This window comes from Homo sapiens, chromosome 6, assembly GCF_000001405.40.
Source record: "Homo sapiens chromosome 6, GRCh38.p14 Primary Assembly".
Lineage (NCBI taxonomy): Eukaryota > Metazoa > Chordata > Mammalia > Primates > Hominidae > Homo > Homo sapiens.
Window position 1 is genome coordinate 55337568 of NC_000006.12, and position 20652 is coordinate 55358219.

The 20652-nt window shown below is 36.1% G+C and overlaps 1 protein-coding gene across 1 annotated transcript in view; it reads left to right on the forward strand.

Annotated features, from left to right (window-relative positions):
- GFRAL (GDNF family receptor alpha like) overlaps positions 1–20652 on the forward strand; it is a 75025-nt gene that overhangs the window by 10099 nt on the left and 44274 nt on the right. The window contains exons 4-5 of the mRNA NM_207410.2: positions 12525–12578; positions 13686–14016. Coding sequence (NP_997293.2) covers positions 12525–12578; positions 13686–14016 — 385 coding nt within the window. The remainder of the gene's footprint in view (positions 1–12524; positions 12579–13685; positions 14017–20652) is intronic.

The window sequence follows — 20652 nt, forward strand, 5'->3', positions numbered from 1 at the left end:
CAATGTGTTAACTTGTTGTAAGACTATTCTTGTTATCTATTTCTTCATGAGTGAGCTTTGGTAATTTGTGTCTTCCATTTGCTGAATTTATGTTGGATTTTTATCCTTAAAGTTTTCAGTTTACTGTTTCTTTTTGGTTTCTATCTCCCTACAAAATTGCTCCTAGTATTTCCTAATTGTCCTTTTTAATATCTGTAGCAGTTGCAGTGATGTCCTTTTTATGTTTACATATTGATAATTTGTATAATTTGTGTCCTTTCAATTTTACTATTCATTGTTTCTTTATGTGTATGTCTGATTTGATTTTAATGTGTTCTCCATTTTCTTGCTTCCTAACATAAAACCTTGAGCCACTGATTTGAGATTTTATTCTTTCCTCATATAAGCATTTAATACTATGAATTTCCTTCCAAGTACTGATTTAGCTATAGCCACACATTCTGATATGTAGTTTTAATTTAAATTTATGTCAAAATATTTTCTCCTTTTCTTTGTGACTTCCACTTTGTTATGATTTATTTTATTATTATTATTATATTTTGAGGCAGAGTCTCTCTCTGTCGCCCAGGCTGGAGTGCAGTGGAGTGATCTCAGCTCACTGCAAACTCCTTCTCCTGGGTTCAAGCTATTCCTCTGCCTCAGCCCCTGAGTAGCTGGGATTACAGGTGCTTGCCACCACACCTGGCTGATTTTTGTATTTTTAGTAGAGACATGGTTTTGCCATGTTGTCCAGGCTGGTCTTGAGCTCCTGACCTCAGGTGATCTGCCAGCATCAAACTTCCAAAGTGCTGGGATAACAGGCATGAGCCACCATGCCGAGCCAGAAGGTTATTTAATTTCCTAATATCTGAGATTTCTCAGATATCTTCATTATTGATTTCTAGTTTAATTTCAGTATCATAATATAACATATTTTGGATGATCTCAATTCTCAATTCTTAATTAAAATAATAATTGCCAAATATCACCTATACAATGTGATACAGTCTACACACATAATAAGGACACACACATACACACACAGACAAAGTACTAGAAGCCATAGAGTAAAAAATAATGGTGACTCAGAAGACTTCACAGAATTGTTAGACTTGGGCCTTTTAGGGTAAGTTGGTTTCATTAGGTAGGCAAAACAAAATGGATAATTTAAGCAGAAGAAACAGAATGAAGTGGGGAGCATTTGGGGAGCAACAATTCCCTTGTTAAGCTGGATACTAGAATGGAAAAGTATTTAACACTGGAAAGAAATCAGCTATTTATGAAAAGGAGGAAGGCTGAACTTACATATCTTTCTAAAGAGATTAGACTTTAAACCGTTGCTATGAGGAGCTATTACATATTTTAAATAGAGGAATGTATCATCAGTTTCTCAAAAGTTATCACAGGCAATAACGTAGAGAGGATGGAATGGGAGGCAAAGAAAGATGCAGGTCAAGAATATCAGTTAAAAAGCCATCAAAATAATTTAAGAGAGAGGTAATGCATGCCTGAACTAAGGCACCGGTCCTGAGAATTATAATAAAATATATACTTAAGGTATATTTATGAATAATAATCAATAGGAATTGGTGACCAGTTGGATATGAGGAATTTAAAATGTATTAAGCGTAATCTCCAGGTGGCTGGCTTGGGACAAGGGGATTGCTATACATTGAGCCAAGAAATGAAAAATTGTACAGGACTGGGGACGAAAGTGATGAGTTGTATTCTGAAAACATTTCATCTGAGGCATGCTTTGGAATATTCGAGTTAGGAATGTTGGTATTTTTTTTCTAAATTTGCAATGATAAAAAAATAGTCTAAAAATGTAAAGGAGCATGCCTCATCAAGCTGGCATTGGGAAGCAGGGATCTTGAGGAGAGAAATCTAAAACAGAGATATAGAGGTTTATGAGTAGATAAAAAACATAAAGGAGAGTAAGACTGCCTGGGAAAAACACAAAGGGAGGAGAAAGATATTTTCAGAAGAATTTTATGACCTATTTGAAGAAACCAAAAAGAAGTTTTTTAAATAGGAAAAGAAACTACAGAGAGTGGAATTTTTGAAGCCAATGAAAGAGAGGACATGAAGAAAATTGTCAAAATTCTGAAAAGTCAAAAAAGATAGGGACTGATAATGGCATTAATTTGCTACTTAGTAGATATTACTAGTTTTAGATTAATTAGGCTGAAATGTTAGCATGCTGAAATGCTTATTAAAATATTTAGTGAGTTTTTTCAAGATGGTAAGACATCTGAACTTAATAGCCTAAATTGCCACTTTTAGCATATCAAATTTTGACAAAATATTGTATATCAACAGAACTATACATATTTAGAGCAGTTAAGTTGAAATCAGTTTACATACTAAAACTATTTTTTCCACAATAGAAATTTATTAAATGCTGTTATGTGGAAATATTGATGAATCAGGCATACAAAAACCTTGCACTCGATGAGAGTTTCATATGGACAAGACCTAAAGGAGAAAGCCTAAATATTCCCGATGGACTTCGTAAAGGACCTGACCTGGATTTTGTGTTTACAGAAAGCATTCAGCTGATTTATTATAATTCATGACAAAGAATTATAAAGAAATTGATAATTTAAATATGAGAAAGAACATGATAATTTAAATCTTACCATTCCTTCTATGTCAACTGCAGCATCCTCCACAGACCTTCTAATCATCACTTCAACAAAATGGTTTTCTCTCCATGCTTTGCATTCCCAAAATATTCTCCAGAGTACACAGACATGCACTTTTCTATTCTCAAGAAAATCAGTTTTGTTATTTCTTTTAAAAAATATGCTAAAGCACCCAGCAGAATACCTGACGCTTAGCAAATTATTAGTAAATATATAACGTAAATATTTTTCATTAACTAAATATTGAGCATCTCCATGATGTATCCATTAATAAAATATTTATGTGTAAACCCTGGAGAATATAAAGAGCATCATCAAATGAAATGAGCAAACAAAAGTGGTTGGCAGCAGTTCCAAGATGGCAGAATAGGAACAGCTCCAGTCTACAGCTCCCAGCCTGAGTGATGCAGAAGACGAGTGATTTCCACATTTCCAACTGAGGTACCAGGTTCATCTCACTGGGGCTTGTCAGACAGTGGGGGCAGGATAGTGGGTGCAGCCTACTGAGCGTGAGCTGAAGCAGGGTGAGGCATTGCCTCACCCGGGAAGCACAAGGGGTCAGGGAATTCCCTTTACTAGCCAAGGGAAGTGGTGACGGATGGCACCTGGAAAATCGGGTCACTCTCACCCTAATACTGCACTTTTCCAGTGGTCTTAGCAAATGGCACACCAGGAGATTATATCCCGTGCCTGGCTTGGAGGGTCCCACGCCCATGGAGCCTCGCTCATTCCTAGCGCAGCAGTCTGAGATCAAACTGCAAGGCAGCAGCGAGGCTGAGGGAGGGACGCCTGTCATTGCTGAGGCTTGAGAAGGTAGACAAAGCAGCTGGGAAACTCAAACTGGGTGGAGCCCATCGCAGCTCAAGGAGGCCTGCTTGCATCTGTAGACTCCACCTCTGTGGGCAGGGCATAGCCGAACAAAAGACAGCAGAAACCTCTGCAGACTTAAATGTCCCTGTTTGACAGTTTTGAAGAGAATAGTGGTTCTCGCAGCACAGAGTTTGAAATCTAAGAATGAACATACTGCCTTCTCAAGTGGGTCCCTGACCCCCAAGTAGCCTAACTGGGAGGCACCCTCCAGTAGGGGCAGACTGACACCTCACACAGCTGGGTACCCCTGTGAGACGAAGCTTCCAGAGGAACGATCAGACAACAACATTTGCTGTTCAGCAATATTTGCTGTTCTGCAACCTCTGCTTCTGACACCCAGTCAAACAGGGTCTGGAGTGGACCTCCAGCAAAGTCCAACAGACCTGCAGCTGAGGGTCCTGACTGTTAGAAGGAAAACTAACAAACAGAAAGGACATCCACACCAAAACCCCATCTATACATCACCATCATGAAAGACCAAAGGTAGATAAAACCACAAAGATGGGGAAAAAACAGAGCAGAAAAGCTGAGAATTCTAAAAATCAGAGCAACTCTCCCCCTCCAAAGGAATGCAACACCTCGCCAGCAATGGAACAAAGCTGGATGGAGAATGACTTTGACGAGTTCAGAGAATAAGGTTTCAGATGATCAAACTTCTCTGAGCTAAAGGAGGATGTTCGAACCCATTGAAAAGAAGCTAAAAACCTTGAAAAAAGATTAGACAATTGGTTAACTAGAATAAACAGTATAGAGAAGTCCTTAAATGAGCTGATGGAGCTGAAAACCATGGCACGAGAACTACATGATGAATGCACAAGCTTCAGTAGCCGATTCGATCAACTGGAAGAAAGAGTATCAGTGATTGAAGATTAAACAAATGAAAGGAAGCGAGAAGAGAAGTTTAGAGAAAAAAAGAGTAAAAAGAAATGAACAAAGCCTCCAAGAAATATGGGACTATATGAAAAGACCAAATCTACATCTGATTGGTGTACCTGAAAGTGATGGGGAAAATGGAACCAAGTTGGAAAACACTCTGCAGGATACTATCCAGGAGAACTTCCCCAATCTAGCAAGGCAGACCAACATTCAAATTCAGGAAATACAGAGAATGCCACAAAGATATTCCTTGAGAAGAGCAACTCCAAGACACATAATTGTCAGATTCACCAAAGTTGAAATGAAGGAAAAAATGTTAAGGGCAGCCAGAGAGAAAGGTTGGGTTACCCACAAAGGGAGGCCCAGCAGACTAACAGCAGATCTCTCGGCAGAAACTCTACAAGCCAGAAGAGAGTGGGGACCAATATTCAACATTCTTAAAGAAAAGAATTTTCAAACCAGAATTTCATATCCAGCCAAACTAAGCTTCATAAGTGAAGGAGAAATAAAATACTTTACAGAAAAGCAAATGCTGAGAGATTTTGTCACCACTAGGCCTGCCCTAAAAGAGCTCCTGAAGGAAGCACTAAACATGGAAAGGGACAACCGGTACCCAGCCACTGAAAAACTCATGCCAAATTGTAAAGACCATCGATGTTAGGAAGAAACTGCATCAACCAACGAGCAAAATAACCAGCTAACATCATAATGACAGGATCAAATTCACACATAACAATATTAACCTTAAATGTAAATGGGCTAAATGCTCCAATTAAAAGACACAGACTGGCAAATTGGATAAAGAGTCAAGACCCATCAGTGTGCTGTATTCAGGAGACCCATCTCACGTGCAGAGACACACATAGGCTCAAAATAAAAGGATGGAGGAAGATCTACCAAGCAAATGGAAAACAAAAAAAGGCAGGGGTTGCAATCCTAGTCTCTGATAAAACAGACTTTAAAACAACAAAGATCAAAAGAGAGAAAGAAGGCCATTACATAATGGTAAAGGGATCAATTGAACAAGAAGAGCTAACTATCCTAAATATATATGCACCCAATACAGGAGCACCCAGATTCATAAAGCAAGTCACTAGAGACCTACAAAGAGACTTAGACTCCCACTCAATAATAATGGGAGATTTTAACACCCCACTGTCAACATTAGACAGATCAATGAGACAGGAAGGTAACAAGGATATCCAGGAATTGAACTCAGCTCTGCACCAAGCAGACCTAATAGACATCTACAGAACTCTCCACCCGAAATCAACAGAATATACATTCTTCTCAGCACCATATCACACTTATTCGAAAATTGACCACATAGTTGGAAGTAAAGCACTCCTTGGCAAACGTAAAAGAACACAAATTATAACAAACTGTCTCTCAGACCACGGTGCAATCAAACTAGAACTCAGGATTAAGAAACTCACTCCAAACCGCTCAATTACATGGAAACTGAACAACCTGCTCGTGAATGACTGCTGGGTACATAATTAAATGAAGGCAGAAATAAAGATGTTCTTTGAAAACAATGAGAACAAAGTCACAACATACCAGAATCTCTAGGACACATTTAAAGCAGTGTGTAGAGGGAAATTTATAGCACTAAATGCCCACAAAAGAAAGCAGGAAAGATCTAAAATTGACACCCTAACATCACAATTAAAAGAACTAGAGAAGCAAGAGCAAACACATTCAAAAGCTAGCAGAAGGCAAGAAATAACTAAAATCAGAGCAGAACTGAAGGAAATAGAGACACAAAAAACCCTTCAAAAAATCAATGAATCCAGTAACTGGTTTTTTGAAAAGATCAACAAAATTGACAGACTGCTAACAAGACTAATAAAGAAGAAAAAAGAGAAGAATCAAATAGAAGCAATAAAAAATGATAAAGGGGATATCACCATTTAATACAGAAATACATCCCACAGAAATACAAGCTACCATCAGAGAATAAACACCTCTACACAAATAAACCAGAAAATCAACAAGAAATGGATAAATTCCTGGATGCATACACTCTACCAAGACTAAACCAGGAAAAAGTTGAATCCCTGCATAGACCAATAACAAGCTCTGAAATTAAGGCAGTAATTAATAGCCTACCAACCAAAAAAAAAGTCCAGGACCAGATGGATTCACAGTTGAATTCTAGCAGAAATACAAACAGGAGCTGGTACCATTCCTTCTGAAACTATTCCAATCAATAGAAAAAGAGGGAATGCTCCCTAACTCATTTTATGAGACCAGCATCAACCTGATAACAAAGCCTGGCAAAGACACAACAAAAAAAGAGAATTTTAGACCAATATCCCTGATGAACATTGATGCAAAAATCCTCAATAAAATACTGGCAAACCGAATCCAGCAGCACATCAAAAAGCTTATCCACCATGATCAAGTGGGCTTCATCCCTGGGATTCAAGGCTGGTTCAAAGCATACGCAAATCAATAAACATAACCCAGCATATAAACAGAACCAAAGACAAAAACCACATGATCATCTCAATAGATGCAGAAAAGGCCTTTGACAAGATTAAACAACGCTTCATGCTAAAAACTCTCAATAAATTAGGTATTGATGGGATGTATCTCAAAATAATAAGAGCTATTTATGACAAACCCACAGTCAATATCATACTGGATGGGCAAAAACTGGAAGCATTCCCTTTGAAAACTGGCACAAGACAGGGATGCCCTCTCTCACCACTCCTATTCAACATAGTGTTGGAAGTTCTGGCCAGCGCAATCAGGCAGGAGAAAGAAATAAAGGGTATTCAATTAGGAAAAGAGAAAGTCAAATTGTCCCTGTTTGCAGATGACATGACTGTATATTTAGAAAATCCCATCATCTCAGCCCAAAATCTCCTTAAGCTGATAAGCAACTTCAGCAAAGTCTCAGGATACAAAATCAATGTGCAAAAATCACAAGCATTCCTATACACCAATAATAGACAAACAGAGAGCCAAATCATGAGTGAACTCCCATTCACAATTGTTTCAAAGAGAATAAAATACTTAGGAATCCAACTTACAAGGGATGTGAAGGACCTCTTCAAGGAGGACTACAAACCACTGCTGAACAGAATAAAAGAGGACACAAACAAATCGAAGAGCATTCCATGTTCATGGATAGGAAGAACCAATATCATGAAAATGGCCATACTGCCCAAGGTAATTTATAGATTCAATGCCATCCCCATCAAGCTACCAATGACTTCCTTCACAGAATTGGAAAAAACTACTTTAAAAAGTTCATATGGAACCAAAAAAGGGCCCGCATTGCCAAGACAATCCTAAGCCAAAAGAACAAAGCTGGAGGCATCTTGCTACCTGACTTCAAACTATACTACAAGGCAGTAGTAACCAAAACAGCATGGTACTGGTACCAAAACAGAGATATAGACTAATGGAACAGAACAGAGCCCTCAGAAATAATACCACACATCTACAACCATCTGATCTTTGACAAACCTGACAAAAACATGAAATCGGGAAAGGATTCCCTGTTGAATAACTGGTGCTGGGAAAACTGGCTAGCCATATGTGGAAAGCTGAAACTGGATTCCTTCCTTACACCTTATACAAAAATTAACTCAAGATGGATTAAAGACTTACATGTTAGACCTACAACCATAAAAACCCTAGAAGAAAACCTAGGCAATACCATTCAGGAGATAGGCACGGGCAAGGACTTCATGTCTAAAATACCAAAAACAATGGCAACAAAAGCCAAAATTGACAAATGGGATCTAATTAAACTAAAGAGCTTCTGTACAGCAAAAGAAACTACCATCAGAGTGAACAGGCAACCTACAGAATGGGAGAAAATTTTTGCAATCTACCCATCTGACAAAGGGGTACTACCCAGAATCTACAAAGAACTCAAACAAATTTACAAGAAAAAAACAACCCCATCAAAAAGTGAGTGAAGGATATGAACAGACACTTCTCAAAAGAAGACATTTATGCAGCCAACTGACACATGAAAAAATGCTCACTATCACTGGCCATCAGAGAAATGCAAATCAAAACCACAATGAGATACCATCTCACACCAGTTAGAATGGCGATCATTAAAAAATCAGGAAACAACAGGTGCTGGAGAGGATGTGGAGAAATAGGAACACTTTTACACTGTTGGTGGGACTGTAAACTAGTTCAGCCATTGTGGAAGACAGTGTGGCGATTCCTCAGGGATCTAGAACTAGAAATACCATTTGACCCAACCATCCCATTACCAGGTATATACCCAAAGGATTACAAATCATGCTGCTATAAAGACACATGCACACGTATGTTTACTGCAACACTATTCACAATAGCAAAGACTTGGAACCAACCCAAATGTCCATCAATGATAGACTTGATTAAGGAAATGTGGCACATATACACCATGAAATACTATGCAGCCATAAAAAAGGATGAGTTCATGTCCTTTGTAGGGACATGGATGAAGCTGGAAACCATCATTCTCAGCAAACTATCCCAAAGACAAAAAAACCAAACACCGCATATTGTCACTCATAGGTGGGAATTGAACAATGAGAACACTTGGACACAGGGAGGGGAACATCACACACCGGGGCCTGTCGTGGGGTGGTAGGAGGGGGGAGGGATAGCATTAGGAGATATACCTAATGTAAATGATGAGTTAATGGATGCAGCACACCAACATGGCGCATGTATACATATGTAACCAACCTGCACGTTGTGCACATGTACCCTAGAACTTAAAGTATAAAAGTAAAAGAAAAAAAAAGTTGACCATATGTTGAGTCAAAGCAAATATCAACAAATTTCAAGACACTGAAATAATTAGAAACATGTAATTTTATCTTGGTGGAAATAACCTAGATATCAGTACAAAAAATAAACAAGAAATCCCCCCCCCCCAAAAAAAAGAAAAAACAAAGTAAGTGATGAAGAAAAATATCACCAAAAGAAATTGAACATTAACATTATGTGGTTCTATAACCTGTAATATTGGTGGTAATTAATTTTTTAATTTGTTGGGATGCTAGTTAAGTTGATAGTGTGACTTTTCTGTGAGAAAACAAAACAGTATAAATGAGCAGATAAACCACTCAGTAAAATTTTATAGGGTTGGAGTTTTATAGAGAATCACGGGAAAGTAAAAGAAGAAAGGACGAAAAGACAATAACAAGAAACTGTTCCTTTATCTGAATGGGTGAGTGATATAGGCTGGAAAGAGTCTATGAATCCAGGAGATGATGCTAAGATTGGGAGTGAATAAAAAGATGAAAGTTCTGGAGGTATATGTGCACATGAAATAATCAAGAATGTGAAGCTTTGGAAGCGAGTAAGATAAGTAATATTTGCAATTGAAAGAGAGAGAACTTCATGTCAATGTCAGGTCTAGAAGTCGATCATTGGTGTGGCATAGTTGGAGTGTCGGTGAAGGTCATAAGAGCTATGGTTAAGGAATTCTGAATTAAGGGTGGAAGATGGTTTTGTCCCAAAAGACATAGAGATAACTTAGCACAATGACAAGATCTGAGGTAGAGGAGAATATTGAGACAGTACCTGAGTCGATGCTGAATATCAGGGCAAGACTTTGAGGTTAATATTTGACAAAAGAAAAGAGGGAGGCACAACCCGACAGCATAAAATTCAAAGAAGGAGAAATGTTTTATAAGGATGAATAATTAATATTTTGGAAGCTACAAAGCTGGAAAAGTAGATATAAACACATTCTAATGATATCGTGGTATGATCTATATGGGAAATGGGTAGGATTCACTAGCAAGAGCTACAGGGAAGTGAGGCTAGAGAAAATCTAGGCTTCCCAGATATTACACTTTTCTATTTTTCTTCTTGCTTCCATGGGTGATTCTTCTCAGTCTCTTTTGAGCATCTTCTTTTGCTTTTGCTTTAAATGTTGCCACATACCCTCTAAAAAAGAAATCTCTGTTGCATTTAATTCAACTAGTCATTTTATAGAAACATGTTTGTCTACTAGTTTATTGTAAGCATATTTCTTATCAGATTATAAAATATAAATCAAAATATTTACATATACAAGAGTTTAGTTTCTGATATTATCAATGTTAAGAAAAAGAAGATGTATGGAAGTACTTCTGATTCTAATATTAGATATTAGAGCATATTTTAGGGATTGTTGGATATTTTCTGATGAACTGTATAGGATTTTATAACTCACATGTAGGTCTTATTGGTGAATACTTTTATTTGTTTCCTGAACATATTGACCTTCAGCTCCTCTTTCAGTAAAAGCCACTGTTTAAAATATCCTCTGGGAAAAAATGAGTGTGTGTGTGTGTGTGTGTGTATGTGTAAATGCTAGTTTTATATTTAATGTGTAAATGTTAATTTCATACAAAATTAGCATTTAATGTATAAGTATTAAAATGTAATACCTTCTATGAAGCACTTTATTTTCAGACACTAAAAATAACTGTTTTGTTGTGTTGGTAACAAGTACTCATATAGTAAGTAAATTAGGCTGCTCTGGCTACCATAACGAAATACTACGGGCTGGGTGGCTTAAAAAGCAAAAATTGTATTTTTCCCCAGTTCCGGATTACGAAAAATCTCAGATAAAGGTCCCCAGAATCTTTTCCTGGCTAGGACTCTTCTTTTACTAGCTTGTAGATAGCCAGCCACATTTTCCCTGCGTTCTCAGGACCTTTCTTCAGTGAGTACTCCAGGGGAGAGAGACAGCTAGCTCCCTGAAGTCTTCTGACATGGACACTAATCCTATTCGATCAGGGCCCCACTCTTATGACCTCTTTTAACCTAAAGACACCATCACCCCATAACTGCACACGGAGATTATGGCTCCAACTTATGAATGTAGGGGTAATGAGAAAAACATTCAGTCAATAACAGTGAGTGAAGCTGTTGTTTATTTAGGTCTACACAGTAGTTTCTTGAATATATTTTAGTCAGTGGCACAGCCTTACCAATCATTCCCAATGCAGGGGTACTAATCCATAAAAGAATGTCCAGCCTAGACTTTTGTACCTGTTACAAAAGCTATATGACTCCCTGGGATCTGTTTGTTGGGATTTTATTAGATATGGAATAGTAGCACAGAAGTTGGAACCTCCAGATCTTCCTCAGAGAGGCGGGATGATGGGTGGGATCAAGAAGAAAGAGTGGTTCTCAAGCTGAGACTTGATCAATTAAAAAAATGAAAAACAATGCATAATGAGAATAGCTTGGACAATATAAGGAGTCTGGAAGGCCATGACACACCTGGGGGTAGAAGTAAGTTTCCTGTGATAGTACCATCTTATATGTGCACTAGACTAGCAGGCAGGAAATATGAACAAACAGCTCAGATTAGGACATAATCATGAAGGGACATTTATGCCATAACAAAACTTATTATCTTAATATCCAATGAAAAAATAATAATTTTCATTTCAAAATGAAAATCTTATCATCTGATTCCCCTGCCACTTTATGGATACATTAGTGCTCCTTATAGTTTCTTTTGGCTTTGTTTTATATGTCTGTATTTCCTTCTGGGCTGTGGGATGCTCGATGACAGGGACTGCAGATTTGCATCCTCAGTTTGTCACCTGGTACATAGTAGGGAACCAACCAATGTTCCTTTAAAGATTTTGGAATTAGATGAACACCGAGTTCATTTTCGTTGATGAGATTTTTCAATACTATAATTATAATTTCTAAGAACTCTTGGAGGATAAGATAATCAGAGGTGAAACTGGTTTTAAAAATTGCATTTCATACTAAAGAAGACCCTTCTGAGAAGGGTTTTTATGCTGGGCAGGGTGGGAGGTAGTGTTCAGAAAATATTCCTTCTGTTTTTTTTTTTTTTTTCCCCAGTCAGCATCCAATGTTTGTTTACTCCGTGCACACAGTCTAATCACTAGCATTTATTTAAGTCTTCAAGTAACTGAATCCTCAGAGCAGGGCTGTATAGCTCACTTGAATGATATTTCAGAGGCTTGTTTTCTTCATCTATACCACATTAATTTTGAATATCAAGGGCTAAATACATGTTACATAACCTTGTATGTACTTTTGCTTGAATATATGTGGACTTTACTCATTTATAAATGTGGCCCACGTTTTCCTAGGAAATTCAGAAAATTGTTCAATAATGAAATAATTTCTTTGTTTTCCTTCTAGATAACGTGAAAGAGGATAAATTCAAATGGAATCTAACTACACGTTCCCATCATGGTAATGTTTTTAAGTTATTATTTTGATCTGCATTGCAAATACCTGATAATATAAAATGCAGTTACCAGGCTTCTTAAAGATAGGCCAATACAGAACAAATCATGTGGTTTAACAGTTCTAATATAATAAAATGCAGCAAAATCATTTCATTTCTTTTACTAATGATGCATCAAAGCAACTACTTTGCCCATCCATTATCAATTTATACATGCGCTAAGAAATACTTAATAATTAAAACCAAATACTAGGTTGGGCACAGTGGCTCACAGCTGTAGTCCCAGTACTGTGGGAGGCTGAGGTAGGTGGATCATTTGATCCCAGGAGTTTGAGACCAACCTGGACAACATGGCAAAACCCTGTCTCTACAAAAACAAAACAAAACAAAAACAAAAACAAAAGTCAAAACTTAGCGGGTCATGTAGGCTTGTGTCTGTGATCCCAGCTCATTGGGAGGCTGAGGCAGGAGGATCACTTGAGCCCAGGAGTTGGAGGTTGCAGTGAGCTGGGATCATGCCACTATACAACAAGACCCTGTCTCAAAAATCAAACAAACAAAAATCCAAATAGTAGATAGTGATTACATTTAATAGGTATTTGTGATCATATAAGTTATTTGGCACCAACTGTTTTTGTGTATACTTGTGTATCTGTAGGAGTATAAACATTTATATATGCTAGAATAAATATGTGGAGCCTTTATTCAAGATTCCCCTCACAAAAATGTGCAACAGAACAAGAATCATTTTGCCTTGAGCCAATGAGCTAACCATAAGCTACATAGTTCAAATGCAATTTCTGAAGATTTATCGTTTACATTTGAAAACCTTGGACTGGGAGATTTTTCCTTCAGCTCAATTTTGGCCCAGCACGCTTCCCATCACTCTAGATCACAATGTGTATCCTGTATAGATGAAAGATGATTCCAATAAGTCTACGATTTAGGTCTCAGTAAATTCATACTTACTCTAAAAGATGTAATGTTTGCCAAAAATAGGACATTGGTACATCATTGTATTTTGCTCATAGACTTCTCACAGTGTTTTATAGTTTCTGTATGTACAGCTTTGTGTTTACTTTTCCACGACCTGGGCATATCATTGCTTTCAGGATTCAAAGGGATGTGGTCCTGTTTGGAAGTGGCAGAGGCATGTGTAGGGGATGTGGTCTGTAATGCACAGTTGGCCTCTTACCTTAAAGCTTGCTCAGCAAATGGAAATCCGTGTGATCTGAAACAGTGCCAAGCAGCCATACGGTTCTTCTATCAAAATATACCTTTTAACATTGCCCAGATGTTGGCTTTTTGTGACTGTGCTCAATCTGATATACCTTGTCAGCAGTCCAAAGAAGCTCTTCACAGCAAGACATGTGCAGTGAACATGGTTCCACCCCCTACTTGCCTCAGTGTAATTCGCAGCTGCCAAAATGATGAATTATGCAGGTGGGTAAAAACACTCATACCTTACTTTCTTATTTCGGCACCTTATTTGTTATAGTCCAGTCCTAACACTTGATCTCATAACATTAGCTAGAGTTCCCACCATCATCCAACATAGTGTAAATAAAACCAGACAATTAATATTTTTTTGAATCTGTGGTACATATGCAGTATCATCTGAAATTCAAATGCAGAGTAGATTTTTGAAATAAAAAATCAGCATGTCAAAATATGGTAGCCATGAAATAATATTATAAAAATTATGTATTCAAGTTAGACTAATGAATTGGTTAATAGACCTGACTTACATATCAGCTTTTTAATTTTTTTTTTGTTGTTTGTTTAATTATGTAAGGCTGTTACAAATTTATTATTTTGGCAAGGAGACTCTTCAAACTTTGAAATAAATTCTTTCTGTCTTAGGCTGGAGATCAGGAGGAAGAAGGTAGCATAAATACTCACATGAGTGGTGCAAAGTCAGAGATAACCAGGTCCACACACATTTGTGTCTTTTCACAATGTCAGGCTTTAATACTGTTCAATCACAAAAGCCACAAGCTACATGGAGTTCCCAAGGAGGCAGTTCTCCTTAGTACTTCTCATTCACTTTGTTTTCAGAGCCATGGGTACACAGGCTCAAGCCACTCCACAAATCAGTCAATATTGCAAACCATACATAATAATATACTTAATATATAAGGATTATAGGTTAAACATTCCACAACAAAGTAACATTTAACATTAAGAGAAAAGGGATAGAGAAAAGGGTTAATGAAAAAGTCCAGGAAGAGTGACAAAAACAAAGATTCTTCTGGTCTTATCTGGGCTGTCCATTGATCTTGCAAGGAAGAGTCTGATGTGGGGAGAATTGTTGGCAGCAGATGCTGGGTGCTTATGAGCGACAGCAAGATGGTGTCAGGTAAGATGGCCATTTTGAGCTGCTGAAGTCCTACTCTCTTTATGGCCACAGAGTCCTCTTGAGAGGACCGATAGTGGAAGAGTATGCTTGTTTATGTCCTTATTTGGTTGGATGCAGTATTGTTTATTTAGCAAAATATTTTGTCCCTGTTGGAAAAGTACCGTATGAAATCTAAGATGGAGTCTTTTTTGGAGTTACTTATGTCAAGGATGCTCTATACAAGTAGGATTTGGACATCCCTAGCACACATGTATGCTATGACCATAGAAATGTATTCATTCTCCTCTTTCTAACCTCACACCTTTAATTATTGGGGGAGTAATGTTAGTCGTTTATTTATTAATTCAAAAAAAATTTATCAAGCACCTACTACTACTCTAGGCAATGGCGAATAAGGAAAACAAATGCCTATGGATCTTATAGTCCAGAGAGAAGACAGATATTAAATTAAAAATGTATGTGTTGTTTTAAGGCAAACAACACTAGGCAAACAGTAGATACTGAGAGAGGAGATATTAAGCAAACTGACCAGCCAGTGCTTAGGAAAACATGTATGTGGCATTTTAGAAAAGCAGTGAGGGTAGAGTGTGCAAAGGGGAGAGAAATAGGAGCGAGATAAGAGAGTTAATTGAGTGGGTGTGAACAGGCCTATATCATATGAGGGCTTGAAGGACACTGCCTAGGGCTTCGGACATGTAGGTGGCTTAGTGTGTGATTTGTCATATTTGTCCCCTTGTTTCAACTACTGGCAAAAAAACACAAAAAGTAATGATATCAACTTCCTGAAGGTTCTTAGTAAAATTCTCTCTTTTAGCTTTTTAACTATGTCTACTCTTATTTTCAGTCACTCTAACTGGCAAAGTAGTTCCAGATCTTGTAAACATTTGTTAAAAAGAACTGCTTCCCTATAGCACACATTCTATGAAATAAGTGGTAAAGAGCTAAGCAGAGTCCTAGAGCATTGACATATTTCGTCAACTTATAGGATATCAAGGTTCTTAAAATTGTATTCAAGAATTTTTCATGCAAATGTGTCAGTTATTTTAAGGCTTATTATTTATTTTTCTTGAGTGAATAAGGCATTGACAAAATACTTTTTATAATGCAATTTAGGTTTTTCAAACTCATTTATCATCTCAAAAATCCTTATTAGAGAAATACTACATTTCATTGATTCTAAGATGCAATTTCTTTTTACACATTTTAACATCTCTGACATATTTTAAATAAATTTTTAAGGTCAATAACAAAGACATTTGTCATAATTTAAGTTCCAGCAGGTGTTTTTTGTTGTTATTGTTGTTGTACATAAAATAATGGTATCTTCTGAAATCAATGAAATATGAAATCAATGAAATATCAAACACATGTGATTACACTACTTTTCTCACCTCAAATGAACTAAAACTATTACTATTCTGCCTTTCTAACTATCATATTCCTACATCAACAATGAAACCTAATAATATTTTAACCAGCCAGGGCCAGGGGCACCATGGTTTCAATAGCAAAATCACTATAAAAATATCAGATTTATTCACAGATGGGTACCCAGCTTTGCCTGATTCCAGTGCCAGGGCTTTCGATATGCTATCTAATTATCTGGAAGCCATTAGCATTCAACCTTCAAAGCATGGTATTTCTGAGCATCCACATCAAAGAAAATATTTTAATAGCAAGTGGTGGCTCTGCTGCTATAGTCCTTGAGAATTCCTGTGATAGACTCTGAAGCACACACTCTTACACTAACCTCCCCTTGGTATCAACACCTTCTCAGATGGACTGGCACAGAGTTGATGATTTTCCTCAACAAGGACCCCCAGCTTTAACCACCTTTTCAAAATGTTTGGTGTGGGGTCTGGAGTGGGATAAGCACTCAAAAAACGTCATCTCCCTTCCTCTCACTTTTGAATATTGTACACTTAATTGTTATATTTTAGTATACATATATGTATTTCTTCTCATGTAATTTATTTCTTAGATTAGTTCAAGTGTAAGGACTGTGTGTCTTCAATTTCCTTTCACTATGTGCAAATAGTCCCTTAATCAGTACTTTATAGAGGTGATGGAAATGTTATATAATATTAGTAGTCAATGTGAAAAGACAAATCCTATCATTTTCCTGAGCACATTTTGCCTTAGGGAGATTTCCAGCTTTTATATTAAATTATTGTTAATGTAATTCAGATGAAAAACAAATCTCCAAATGGAAAACCACTTCTTCAATGAGAATATTAAGCCCTTTATGATACTTATCTTTTTTGCAGAAGAGCCTGTACATAGGCAAAACAGGGCACTTCAGTTTTAAAATACAATTTCTGTCCCTGTTCCAAATTTTTCAATTCACGATGGGCTTTGAAATTCCTTTATTTTTTAACTGCCAAAGAGAACAATTTAAGGGCCATTTCTCAATTACCTTTCTCTAGTACCGACACCCTCAGGGAGGTGAGATTATGTCTTGCCAATTTCACAAAAGTCTGGGTATTTACAGAAAATTATAATACATTATATTTTTATATATTAACTTAAAAAAGTAATGACAAGGTATTTGCTTAGGAAATATTCTAAATACTTTTAAATATGTATGCATTATTTAATTGATTTAAAACAGATGACATCATATTATATACTTCTCTATATATTGTTTTTGTTTTTTTTCCCTAAATGTGGATTAAAGATCTTTCCATAATTGCATATAAGAAAATTCACACATCAGGGTCTGTTAGGGAGTCGGGGGCGAGGGGAGGGAACTTAGAGGACAGGTCAATAGGTGCAGCAAACAACCATGGCTCATGCGTACCTATGTAATAAACCTGCACGTTCTGCACATCTATCTCATTTTTCTTAGAATAAATTAAAAAAAAGAAAATTCTCAAATGTTTGAATGGCTATAGAGTATGCCATTGCATGGATGTAGCTTAATTAATTTGCTTAGTCTTTTTTGGACATTTAGACATATTCCAAGTATCTTATTTTATTTGTAGCTATTGTAAATGGGACTACTTTGAAGATTTGTTTTTCAGATTGCTTGCTGTTAGCATATAGAAATGCTACTGATTTTTGTATGTTAATTTTATATCTTGCAACTTTACTGAATTTGTTGATCAGTTCTAAGAGTTCCTTGGTGGAGTCTTTGGGTCTTTTCAAATATAAAATTATATAATCTGCAAACAAATTTTTCTACCTTTCTAATTTGGATGCCCCCCTTTTCTTTTCCTTCTCTTGTCTAATTGCTGGGCTAGGACTTCCAGCACTATGTTGAATAATAGTGATGAAAGTAGGCATCCTTGTCTCATTACAGATCATAGAGGAAAAGCTTTCAGTTTTTCCCCATTTTATATGATACTAGCTATTGGTCTGCTCTGTCATATATGGCATTTATTCTGTTGAGGTATATTCCTTCTATATCCTGGTTTTGAGGCTTTTATCATGAAGGAACGTAGAGAACTTTAGCAAATGCTTTTTCAGCATCAATTGAAAAGATCATGTTTTATGTCCTTCATTTTGTTGATATGATGTATCAAACTGATTGATTTTCATATATTGAACCATCCTTGTATCACTAGGATAAATCCCACGTGGTCATGATGAAAAATCTTAATGTGTTGTTGCATTTGGTTTGCTAGGATTTTGTTGAGGATTTTTGCATTAATGTTCTTCAGGAAAATTGTCCTGTAGTTTACTTTCCTTGGTATGTCTTGTCTGGTTTTGGTATTAGGGTGATACTGGCCTCAAAGAATGAGTTTGGAAGTATTCCCTCCTCTATTGTTGGAAATATTTTTAGTAGAATTGGTATTAGTTCCTCTCTAAGTGTTTGGTAAAATTCAGCATCATGTCCCAGGTTTTCCCTTGCTGGGAGACTTTCTATTATAGCTTCGATCTCATTACTTGTTATTGGTCTGTTCAGGATTTGGACTTCTTTATAGTTCAATCTTGGTAGGTTGTGTCTACAAATTTATTCACTTATCCATTTTAGATTTTCTGATGTATTGGCATATATTTGCTCATAGTAGGCTTCAATGATCCTTCGAATTTCTGTGGCATCATTTGTAATATTTCCTTTTTAATCTCTGATTTCATTTATTGAGGTCTTCTGTTTCTTTTTATTAGCCTAGCTGATGGTTTGGAGATTTTATCTTTCCAAAAGACCAACTTTTCATTTTGTTAATCTTTTGAATTTTTTTTGTTTCACTTTCATTTATTTCTGCTCTGAAGTTTATTTTCTACTATTAATTTTGGGTTCAGTTTGCTCTTGCTTTTCTAGTTCTTTAAGATGCGTTGCTAAGTTGTTTATTTGAAGTTTTTCTACTTTTTTGATGTAGGTGCTTATTTCTATAAACTTTTCTCTTAATACTGCTTTTTCCATATCCCACAGGTTTTGGTATGTTGTTCTTCCATTTTCATTGTTTTAATACACCTCTAAATTTTACTCTTAATTTCTTTATTTGCACACTGGACAATCAGGAGCATATTGTTTAATTTCCATGTATTTGTATAGTTTTCAAAGTTCCTCTTGTCATTGATTTCTAGTTTTATTCCATTGTCATCAGAGAAAATACTTGATATGATTTCAAGTTTTTGAAAATTTTAAGACTTGCTTTTTAGCTAACATATGGGTTACCATTGACAACGATCTGCGTGCTGAGGAGAATAATGTGTATTCTTCAGCTATTGTATGAAATGTCCTGTAAATATCTATTAGGTACATTTTATCTATAGTGCAGATTAAGACTGATGTTTCTTTGTTGATTTTCTGTCTGAATGATCTGTCCAATGCTGAAAGTGAGATGTTGAAGTCTCTCTCTTTAGGTCTAATACTATTTGCTTTACATGTCTAGGTACTGCAGTGTTGGGTGCATATATATTTACAATTGTTATATCTTCTTGCTGAGTTGAATCTGTTATCATTATATAATCACCTTCTTTATCTTTTTATAGTTTTTTTCTTGAAATCTATTTTGTCTAATTAAAGTATAGCTACTCCTGCTTCTTTTTTTGGTTCCATTGGCATAGAATATCTTTTTCCATCCCTTTATTTTTCAATCTATGTGTTTCTTTATAGATGATGTATGCTTCTTAGAGGTAACAGATCATTGGCTCGTTTTATTTTTAATCCGTTTAATCCATTCAGCCATACTATGTCTTTTAATTGGAGACTTTAGTCCATTTACATTTCAAATAATTTTGGAATCCAGTGTACCAAAGTAGTATTTTATTTTTAATTAAATATTCTTTAGTTCATCATTTTGGCAAAATTTCATGGTGTTTTTCCTGAGTGAAAATTTATCTACTTATGTATAAGTAGATAAACCATGCAATTTAAACTTAGTAAAACATATTTAAAATGAATAAATAGCATGTAGGTACAGATGTAGTCTCTATCTGAATGACAATCAATACTTCCAAAACTTACATTTAGAAGATATCTTATATGTAACCCTTAACAGCATTGAAGGAATATGTTTGTTCTTCTGACCTAATAATTACATGTTCAGAAAATTTGCAGTATTTCCTTTATTATAAATTTAATATACATGAATTAATCTTCATTATTATATTTAAAAGCTTATCCTTTAAGATGAGTTAAATATTTAATTATTAAAAACAATGTGACTTTGGTTTTTTAACATAGCAGCATCCATGTGGACAAATAACTTCATGAAAATGTCATGTACTTATAGGGCTTTCATACATGTTTGATGTCAACCTATTCAAGAAGA